Below are 11294 nucleotides of genomic sequence, written 5' to 3' on the forward strand. Positions count from 1 at the left end.
TAGATTCTTGCTGGCAATGCTGATCTGGTAGGATTTCACCCTTGAGGTGTTGGATACATCTTTATCAGCACAAAGGCAGAGCCTGCCAGACAGTGAAGCCAATATAGAGGGAAGCCAAGAGCTGGAGGGCTTCCTGAACACATTAAGCCCCTGGATCTACCTATACCTGAAGCTGGAATTTCTTGAACTTTTTTGTTACTTGAGCCAATAAGTCCCCATTTGTAGTTTAAGTCAGTTTGAGTTGGAATTCTGTTATTTCTCGCATAATGAACTGGACTGTATATTTTTTCTGTTAGTCAACACTACCAAGAAGCCAGCATAACTGGGGAAAAAATAGTCTCTTCTAAGGCGGGTTACTGGGAGAATTATATCAGACAGCAGAATTCAGAAATGCACCTGAGAGACCTGCTTAGTCAAAGTCCAGCTTCTAGGAAGGCCCATTATTTAAACTGTCTTGAACTCTCTCTGTGCTGGTCACTGGTTAATGGTGCATTTGTCTTCAGGCCCACTGCCTGCCCTTCTGCTGGGCTCTGTCCCAGGGAGCCCGGCCCCAGCTTCCCCAGACTCCCTTGTCTTTGGGCCAGGTTTGGCCAGTCCAAGCCACTGCTGGGGCCATGGAGCATGGAAGAAGGGAGAAGCCAGGGTTTTTCTCACCCTCTTTTTCTGCCAGGGGGCAAGGCTATGCCTTTTCTGTGGCTCTGGCACCCTCTGTGGTCTCTTAGGCCAACCTTAGCCTTGCTGGCTCGCTCCACACCAGTCTTCAGCCTGGCCCGCCAGCCGGCCGCTACGGGGTGATGAATTACTTTCTTCCCTGGGAAAATGAATGTTAAAGTTACCTGTTCGTCCTTTGCTGCTAGCTTCAGTGTGGTTAGGAGAAAATAGTTAACCCATTTAAGAGTAAATATTTTGAGGTTGAACTTACCAGAGACAGAGCCAAGCAGGTTTCCACCCCATGAAAGCAAACATGGTTCAGTAGCATCCCCACAGACCTGCCATTTCGCTGCTAAATGGGAAAGTGTCTGCTAATGATATTGGCATTCTGGTGACTGGAAGAAGTCCTATTCAGGACAACACCAGGACAAAGTTCCCAGTATTTTGGTTCATATGCATGTAATAGATCAGCCCAGGACAAAGTTTCTAGTATTTTTGTTCATATGCACCTTATAGATAGCCCAGGACAAGATTTCTAGTATTTTGGTTCATATGCATGTTATAGGTCAGTTACATTGATCTATGTACTAGCTGGGGTACAAGAACATGTGTAAAATATGTTGATTTCTTATGCCTGTGTAAGGTTAATGGCCTAAGCCAGAATTACTCAAGGGCTTTTCAGGGAATCCGTGTCCTCATGTGCCCTGCTCGCCGTGCTTAGATTCCAAAAAGATACAGTGCAAGGAAAGGTGAGGTGAGCTGCACAATTTTTGTTCCGGAACAATCCTCTGGTCATGAATCCCAATACTTTTTACTGCCCTGATAAATTAGATGGGCATTTACTGCCTTCTCTTTGCAGTGTGGGAACACAGGCCTAAGAAGAAAACAAGAAAGGAGGGAGGAGGGATGAAGAGGTAAGCGGTAAATGTCAAAGTCGGCCTGGCCCAAGCCCTGAGACACGAGAGCAGCTTGTGAGCAGTTCCAGGTTTCAGGAGGAATCTGTCATTCATTTCCAGGCACGCCATGTACTTGAAATGTCATTGTCTCTCACCTGTCTGGGGGAGCTGAGCAAGACTGAGGCTCATGTAGGCTCCTTCCTCCCCGCATTCCCTGTCAGCCACTGTCTACCTCTGTCCCCAGCGGAGGAAGGTGATTGGTGGACATATTGATGTGTATGGAGGGGGATGCATCCTGATTCCACGAGGGAAGAATATGGGAACTCTACGTTTGAGATCATCCCAGACCTCACCCTTTGTGCCTCTTCATTTGCCTGGTCCTGATTTGTAACCTTTATAAGATCGTAACCATCCATATAGCACTTCCCTGAGTTCTGCGCATTGTTCTAGTAAATTAGGAAAACTGAGTGGCTCGTAGGAATCCCTTATTTGTAGCCAGTTGGTCAAAAGTGTGGGTGGCTGGACCCACAAGTGAGGGGTGCAGCACCCACTTGTCCCTCTCACCCTGCATCAGCCAAGTGGGATGAGAAACAGCCGGATGCCAATGGCCAAAGGGAGCTCTTGCATGGTCCACGTGCCGTTGAGGTTTGGCTCTGCCAGGGGAATGGACAGACCTGGGCTCAGTCCTGGCTGTGCCTGCTGCTAGCGTGTTCCTTTCTGTGGCAATAAGATTGAGAACAGACTTGTGCGATCTGCTGAGACTGGGACTCATTTCCAAGTCCTCACTTGAAGTGCCCTCAGAAAGAAGTGAGGAAGGCATGCTGCAATACTTCAACGCCATTCCCAGGCACGCCACCTGGGTTGGTGCAGACTCCACAAGTTCAGGACACGGTCCCCAACAAGACTGCCCTCCCTTCACACACCAGCTCCAAGTCCGGCCACCCACACTTTTGACCAACTGGCTACAAATCAAGGATTCCTACGAGCCACTCAGGTTTCATAATTTACTAGAACAATGCACAGAACTCAGGGAAGCGCTATATGGATGGTTACAATCTTATAAAGGTTACAAATCAGGACCAGGCAAATGAAGAGGCACAAAGGGTGAGGTCTGGGATGGTCTCAAACGTAGAGTTCCCATATTCTTGCCTCGTGGAATCAGGACTCATCCCCCTCCATACACATTGACGTGTTCACCAATCAGCAAGCTCCCCCTAGGAACCCAGAACAAAAGCCAGACACATTCCTTAATAGGAAAACAGGGTGTTGGACACAATCCTATTCCAGCCACACACCAACCCATCCTCCCCTCTGCTACCGCCCAGCGGTCTCCTCCCAGGTTAGAGACCAAAATGCATCAGCAGGAAAGCCGAGGTTAATAATTTGAGTGGACAGAAATTGTTTTGCCTATGCTTTATCCATTTCTCCTCCCTTTGAGGTCAGAATGTGTGTTTTTCTTGGGAAACCACCTGTCTCTCACTCTCACCTTACTCGGGTGTCCTGGACTGACCCTAGGTGTGAGTAGGTGACCCAGGCCTGGCCAATCAGAGCATCAGATTCACCAGCTGCCTAGGACCCCAGTCGGTTCATCAAAATGCAAGTCTTAAATTGTCACTGAGATTGTTAAACAGAGAGACATTCTTTTTATGCTGGATTTTATGTTGAGATTGTTAAACAAGAGAGATATTCTTTTTATGCTGGATTTTATGTTGTGATAATAGAAGCTGAGAAATGCTTGGAGACACCATATAGAGATAATTTGCCTACATAGGGAGCCACAAAATGCAAACAGAGATAAGTGATTAAAAAGCCAGAAAGGCCGAGTCCTGATGAAAAGATTTAAGCCCTTGGATCTAGCCAGGCCTGAAATCCATCAGATCCCCTCTGGACATTTCAATCATGGATCCAAAGAATTTGTGGGAGTTTTTTTTTGTTTTGTTTTGTTTTCATTTTCTTTAAAGTCCAGCAATTTTACTTGAACTTGGTGTTGGTCATGATGGGTCACTATTCACAGGATGCAGCCTGCTCTTTTAACAAATAATTTCCAAGGTTTTGTTTTTGGAAGTTTTTTTGAATTATTATTTTCGGTATTTGTATTGCTCCCTTGCTGCATTGTCTTTTTTTTCCTTGAGAGATTCCTTTTATCTGTAAGTTAGTTCTTGTCTCTATCAACACAATTTTTTACCCTCTCTCCTAATTTTTGCTTCATCTGACCCTTCCGTCCACTATTATCTTCTCTGCCTCCTAAAATCTTTAAGACAATTATTTTATCAACAATCCCCCCTTCTCCCTAACATCTCCAGATGACTCTCCCAGTCCCTCCACGGACCAGCCTTGCCTGTAATCTGACTCTCTTTGAGGACAAGCAGCCCCTCTCCAAGGAAGCTCTCTTTGTTTCCCTCACAATTCAGGCGCTCCAAGTCTAGAGGCAGGGTCAGCCCCCTCTCTGTTTTTCATGACAATCAATATATCACTTTCCTTCTTCCTATTTCAAAAGCACATCTTGCTTGAAGCTCTTGCCATGTGTCTTTAACTCCCGTCCAACATTCTCCGCCCCTCATCTGGAAACATCCCACTCAGTCCCCTTTATTCAGTAAAGACTGAAGCTCTTGGCTCACTCTTTTTTTTTTTTCAATCTCATCTAAGGCCCTAACATCCACTCAGGTTCCAATCCTGGCTCCATCCTTTATTAGATCCATTACTGTGGGCCAGGTGCTGAATTTGCTTGTGCCTCAGTTTCCTCACTGGCAAAATAGGACTAAGTGGTCCTTACATAGTTGTTGTAATGATTGAATTAAAGTGCAGAAATGCTCAGAACAGTGCGTGGCACTAAATGTAGTCTGTTATTATTATTATCATCATTTAAATTTTTATCTGGCTTGGCTGGAGGAGCACAAGTAGGCCCTTAGCTGAAGCTGAAATGTGAAGACTTTTTAAAGAACTCTGTGATTTGATTTTGGTGTCCCAGAAGGTAGCATCCTAGAGGTATTAATTTATAAACCATTCACAGGAAATAAAGAATAAAATGTAACTCCTTGCAAGAGGGCTTGTTTATATATTTTATAAGTAGACTTTACCGCTTCCAACTACTGATCAAACCAGCTCGCCATCAACTCATGATAAAAAGTCCTCATTGGTAACAATAGGGGAGGAAACAGGAGCATTTCCTACATCCACCTTGGTGATTACCAATGTGTGAGACCTTTGCAGACCCATGGATGTACCAATATCCTCCAAGGGTGTGTTGGCATGGCCACCTCCTCCCAAGACCTCCCCATACCACACATCCCCCACCACCGGCATCTCATGCCCACACCATCTGATATGGTTTGGCTGTTTCCCCACCCAAATCTCATCTTGAATTGTAGTTCCCATAAGTCCCATGTGTCATGGGAGGGACCCAGTGGGAGATAATTAAATCATGGGGCAGGTCTTTCCCGCGTTGTTCTCATGATAGTGAATAAGTCTCATGAGATTTGATGGTTTTATAAAGAAGAGTTCCCCTACACAAGCTGTCTTGCCTGCCACCATGTAAGAAGTGACTTCGCTCCTCATTTGCCTTCCTGCATGATTGTGAGGCCTCCCCAGCCATGTGGAACTGTGGGTCCATTAAACCTCTTTCCTTTATAAATTATGCAGTATTGGGTGTATCTTTATTAGCAGCATGAGAACAGACTAATACACACCCTCTCATCCTCCCTGAACTTTCCACCGGCATATTCTATCTCTGGATTTCACATCATCACACAAGGCATTTTCTGAAAACTCCTGTCACCCCCTCCTAAAGTGATTTGTCACCAGCAAATAGAGTGATGGGAGGAGCCTCTTTATTAACCAAGAGATGATTCATAGGGCTGCACACAAAGCCTGTGAAAAGCAATGTTTATTTTCTTGAAATGACATAAAACTATCATTAATCATCCTACCCAACCCATCCTGAGCGACCTCCTCGCTTGTTTTAACTTCTACAAATTAATGTAAATCACTAGATTCAGGGTGCATATTTGGAGTGGAGGGTCAGAAGAGCCGGCCAGAAGACCTTTGCTTCTGTTTCTATAAAACATCATACACTAAGAAAAAAACACATTTCCATTTCTTTCTTTCCTATAATTGGTCAGGGGTCTTCCAAACTCGAGTCTGTTCTTTGTGAACCAACATAGCAGAATTTAATTTTGTACCCCTTCTCCCCTCATAGCTAAACCTTGAACTTACCGACTGGAGTGAACAATGAGGCCACCATATGGAGGACAGCATCCTGGTCTAGAAAAACAATCTCCATAATGCACCAGCCCATCCAAAAACAGACTGAAATTATATGTTGAAGCACAGTGGAAATTTCCTCCTGCATGTTTTATGTAAACAAGTTCATTTGTTCATTCAATGAATCCACAGTTCTTCAAAGGCTCTGTTTATATTAAAAGAAAGAAGCAGAAAAATTTGGATTGGCGGGCAGCCAGCTCTACACCTACAGAGTTGTCAAGCTGTTAGAGCAACATTCGGGAGCTCCGATGTTTATGTTGAGATGGGCTTTTAAGCCAAAAGTAAAATATTTTTTTTTGGATGAAACAGCCAGATATGTGAGCAATGGACTCACATCATCAGAGACAAAAAGACCAGTGTTTTGCAAAAGGGCAGAAGCTGAGCTGGTGATGGGCCTCAGACCTTGCGCAGGGCCCGAGGACTCTGTCTTCTCATGTCTATGGAGCAGCATCTCAGGGGTTTCTACATTAGACAGCTTTAAAGTAACAAAGAAGAGCGAGTGTCTGAGGTTAAGACCTTGACACACGATGGTCTCTAGGCTGCTGACTTGAATCCTCAGGAAAAAATCTACCCACCAAAGGCCTAAAAGTTGGGTTCTTTCCAAGTGTGATATTTTATATTTACTATTTAGAAGACCATGCAGTAATCAAATAGCAGCTTCAAGAGAGGCTCTATGAGAAAGAGTGTCTTGTATCCATCAGGATTCTGTGGTTGCAAGTGACAGAAAATCCTACCCCAGTTGGTTTAATCCAACCAAGTGTTTCATTGAATCACAGACTTGAAGCAGGATGGGGATTTTTGCTTTGGGTGTGGCTGGATCCAGGAACTCAAAGGATGTCACCATGTGGCTCTTTTTCTCTATTTTTAAACTGTGCATTCCCCTGAGTTGGCTATATTTTAGGGTAGATGTTCACTCGTATGAAGGTGGCCAGCGGCTGCTCCAGCTCAGCATCGTAACTTCTCAGCAACTGCAGTGGAAAGAGAGCACTGCTCCTGCAGTTACTGAGGCCGATACCTGAGAATTGGCCTTTAGTAACTTTAACTGGGTCACATGTGCATATCTTAACCAATCACTGTGGTCATGGGATAGAGACTTCTGATTGGTCAGACCCAGGTCACATCATAGCCCTGGACTCAACAAAACTACCTGCACAGGGAGTGGAGGAGGGGTGGCTCGCCCAGGAAAATAGGGTTCATTACAAGAAAAAAGGGAAGCGTATTTGAAGCAAGGAAAATTTGGTCTGAAAAACATTTAAAATTGTAAAAAAAAAAAAAAAAAAAAAAAAAGAAAAAAAAAACAGAAGGAAATTGGGTATGTTTACTTTGAGAATGAGAATAATCATGATTATGACGAATCCTGGAATCTTAAAGTTAGCAGCATCTTCCCAGATTGAGACCAATAGTTTCCAGACACATTTTTTTTTTAGAGCCACAGACCTCTTTTGTCAAATAAAATCTAAAGTCTGTGGGAACGTCCATGATGAAAACGGATCGACACTAAGCTATTTAGTTAAAAGAGGAAAAGGGTAAAAGGAGGAAAAAGGCCCAATGTCCCACCCTCTTAGTTCTCCCAATTCTTCCAACATCAGCTCTTCCTTGGAAATTGAGGGAAGACAATAAAAAAAAACTGCTGGGGCTTCAAAGATGACTTTAGGGAGTTAGACCCTGACCAAGAATAACATTGACTCATACCAAGAAAAACTTCTTCCCAGATCAATTCTCTTTCAACCTCATCAAGGAGAAAGTCAAAGGTTAATGCTAATACATTTTAATAAATTTCATAGCCCTTGCTAATACTCATTTGAAAAATCAGAGGTCAGGTTATCAGGATCACAGTGCTCTGTGGGTATTCGGCTAGAATTTACTATCAATATTTTCTTCTTACTGCTTTTGTTCTTACTATTTCCTTCTATTTAGGGAAATGATTCTGGTTTTCCATTTTATGATGATGACATTTACATGTGTGTATTTTCTTATTTTTTCTTTTCAGTGAAATTTTTTTTTGTATTGTGGCAAAATATACGTATCACAAAATTTATCATTTTCACTATTTTAGGTGGAAAGATCAGTGGCATTAGATGCTTTCACACTGTTGTGCAACTATTACCACATCCACCTCCAGAATTTGTTTATCTTCTGAATGGAAACTGTATACCCTCTGCAACTCCTCACTCCCTCCCTGCCCCTAGCCCCTGGAAAGTATATATTTCTTTTAAATCCATGTATATAAGTAAAACACACAGATGTAGGCAAATAAAAATGTTTCATAGATTACAGTACAGATGGTGCAAAGGGAAATGGATAAAATTGTGAGAGATGTTTGGAAAACACTAGAGGAGCTTAGCCCTCCTAAAGATAAAACCCTGTCTACAGTATCCCTGCAAACTCACAGCCATGGTTCGAACCTTGGGAATAACAGAGTTTCCTCCTTTGCAAGATGGCCTGTTTCATTTTGCACATGGTTCTAGAAAGTTCTTCCTTCCATCGAGCTTTGGCCTGAGGACTGGCACTGCACCAACGGGTGGTGATCTTTTTCCTTTCCCACTCTAATGACTTGGATATTCGGGTTTCGTGGCCGTGTTAAAGGTCTCCCTTCTTAGCTAAGTATCCCATGTTTGCTTGCAGATTAACACCAATGGTGCCGTGACATCGAGGGACCTTTTCAGCCTGCCCAACCCTGACATTCCCATCTCTGGCCACACCTGCCTGGTCTTCTCTTGGGAACTGCCTTAACTCTGCTGTCATTCATGTTGATTAGCAAGGCTGACTCTACCCCATGACCCAGAGCTGACCAATCAGAGCAGTCCATTGCCCAAGCCACAGTGATTGGCTCAAAGGTGAGCATGCAATCATGCATGGTCATTAAATCCATGAAGGTGCTCTACCCCCAGCCTCACCAACCACCTAGCCGTAGGGGCTGCCATAGATGGCTCCTTACCCTCCCTTTAATCAGTGGCTTTGGGCCTTTTAAATTCTGAAAACATGGCTGTGTCCAAAGATAAGGGACACATGGTTTTTACCCATAATTTCTTTAGTCATGATTTCTAACAGCCCCTGCCACCAAGCCTGAGCCCCATTCTAAACGAGTTAACCCATTCTAATGAGCCAATACTTGTCACCTTAGAAGGAAGATGACAAATGTTAGCTCATTTAATCTTCAGAACCCTGTGAGGTACCTCCTAGGACTATTTTTATTTTCAGGTGAGGAAACTGAGTCACAAAGGGCTGTAATAACCCGCTGAGGGTTCCACCTTGGCAGGAATTTGAACCTGGGCAGCCCAGCCCTGAATCAGTCCTCACACCACCCATGATGCGGCCCTGAGAGCTGCTCTCAATGCCACTAGCAGAGCGATGTCACGAAGTGCCACTGTGGCTTTTACTGTACAGGATTTTCTCTCTTTCAAAGTTGACTCCATGCCAGTACTGGTTGCTCTGCAAGGTCTCTCAAATAGAGTGCCTTTGATCCTGAACCTTTTCTTGGAAGCCTCTGAAGGGCTTCACTAGTCTAGGGGCCACTGCAGATGACCATCTTTCTAGCATCTCAGCTGTCTGCTCTCATATTTCATTATCTGGTCCACAAGGCTGGTAACAAACACTCAAGATAAATTCTGTCCTCCCTCTCTGGAAAATAGAAAATACATTAAAAATCTCAGCCTGTGAAACTGAAAATTCCAGCCAAGGGGCCCATGAGGCCCCAGACTGGGAAGGCCCAGTTCCCAGGAGACAGCAGAGTCCTGCTCCGAGATAACATCACCCTTCTGCCCACACATGCAGAGGCTGTAATTATACCCCTTAACCTGGGGCTTTACTTTACTTAATGAGTAATTTGCCAAAACCATGCTACTGTTTGAGGCATGAACCTGGTGTGTGAAGGGTTCATGTGCTTCTATCCCACCTGTCATCTTCCTCTCCAACATCTGGGATCCTGGGAGAAAATGTCTGTCAACCACACAGCTGCCTCCTCACCCTCCTGCCCCCAGGTACTCTCCTGGTTTCCCCAGCATCAGAGTTAGCTAATGAAAGAGGCCTTCAAAACATTTCTCAAAAAGCATGGGCATTGTGGAAAGGGGAGAGAGAAGCTGGGTTTAGCAGTGAGCATTAGTAGGGGCCATGGTTGGTCAGAGGACATTCCACACCAAGGTGCCATCATGCAGGAGAGTTTGAGGACAGCCAGAAAGTCCTGTCTCTTCCTAAAGAGGAGACTACATTCATTGGGCCCACTCTCCTCAAGGAGGTTGCAGGAGTGAGATGGTTTATTAGGGCCAAAAATGGACCTCAGTGAGTTGCTGAATAGAAGGCCTTTGAATTGGCCAAAGCATCGTTGTTTGAGGAATAGATAAGCGTTCGTGCTCCTTTCCTTAAAGATCTTGGAAGAGACAAAACCCAGGGTCTAGCAGAAACTGCTTGCTGCCCACCCCCTATCTAGTCTTCTCTTCTTCTTTGGAAACAGAACCCCCAGTTTAACTGGATACAGGGCTCCCTAGAAGGAAGATGACTTTGCCCACCCTCCCTTTACTAGGTGAGGTCATGTGATAAAGTAAAGATCAATGTCATATCATAAGAAGTCTCTGGTGAGGCTTCAGGGTAGAGAACAGGTTCAGGAGGAATATACACCTTTTGTGCTCTGATTCCATTCCTCATTCTAGCTACCTGGAATGTGGATGTTATAGTGGTGCTCGCAGCCATCCTGGATTATGAAGTGGCCATGAGGACTAGGAAGTGAACCCGCATGGATACCGAAATCCACAAACGCTCAAGTCCCTTATACAAAATGAAGTAGTATTTGCATATAAGCTATGAATATCCATAGAGTAGCAGAAATAGGAAAGTTCTGTGGACCCTATTGACTTCATGGAACTTCCGTATCAGTCATGGACTGTTTATCTCTCAAACTTCCTTTAAGTAGAGTATAGGAGTGCATCCCTGTGTCGAAGGCTCTCTTGTATTGAACTTTCTGTTCTATGAGATTGGATCTACCCTTACTGATATAGGGGACTCATGAGGCTTCTCAGGGAGGGGCAGAGCTCTGAGGATCAAGCCAACACTCCACAGCTTGCACTTCAGGTCTCTCGTGGTCAGGGACCAACACTTCCACTGAACGCCATGCCCTCCTGCCCCAGGACCTACCAGGCTCTCCACCCAGCCTCTTCCTTTGCACCCTTCCTGTGCTTGTCATGCTTTCCCCACTTTCTGACCTTTGCCTTTGCAGAAAGTCTTGCTGGGGCCAACCTCACTACCTTCTCTCCACAAATCTCACCATGCCTCATGGTTCAACTTTTGACTTTTACCTCTGTAGTCTTTCCCAGATATTCTGGAAGATGCCTTGCTGGATTGACCTATGAGCATTGAAACCTGTCTTTCTTTTCTTGTTCCACACGGGCAAGGGTTTCTTACCCCAGGACTGTGGGATCTTTCAGGGAAGGGCTGGCCCACTTTACTTCTCTCTTTGCAGCACAGGCCTTGGTTGGGGAAGTTTCCTCCACGTAT

General features: G+C 44.7%; 2 annotated features.

Moving 5' to 3' along the window:
• Nucleotides 181–681: an enhancer, noted in NCBI's record as "H3K27ac hESC enhancer chr20:46803778-46804278 (GRCh37/hg19 assembly coordinates)". NCBI's record gives its function as "activates a minimal SCP1, AML or CMV promoter by ChIP-STARR-seq in primed H9 embryonic stem cells {active_cell/tissue: H9 hESC(primed)}" and the evidence as "EXISTENCE:reporter gene assay evidence [ECO:0000049][PMID:30033119]".
• Nucleotides 682–1182: an enhancer, noted in NCBI's record as "H3K27ac hESC enhancer chr20:46804279-46804779 (GRCh37/hg19 assembly coordinates)". NCBI's record gives its function as "activates a minimal SCP1, AML or CMV promoter by ChIP-STARR-seq in primed H9 embryonic stem cells {active_cell/tissue: H9 hESC(primed)}" and the evidence as "EXISTENCE:reporter gene assay evidence [ECO:0000049][PMID:30033119]".

Source organism: Homo sapiens, chromosome 20 (assembly GCF_000001405.40).
Source record: "Homo sapiens chromosome 20, GRCh38.p14 Primary Assembly".
Classification (NCBI taxonomy): domain Eukaryota; kingdom Metazoa; phylum Chordata; class Mammalia; order Primates; family Hominidae; genus Homo; species Homo sapiens.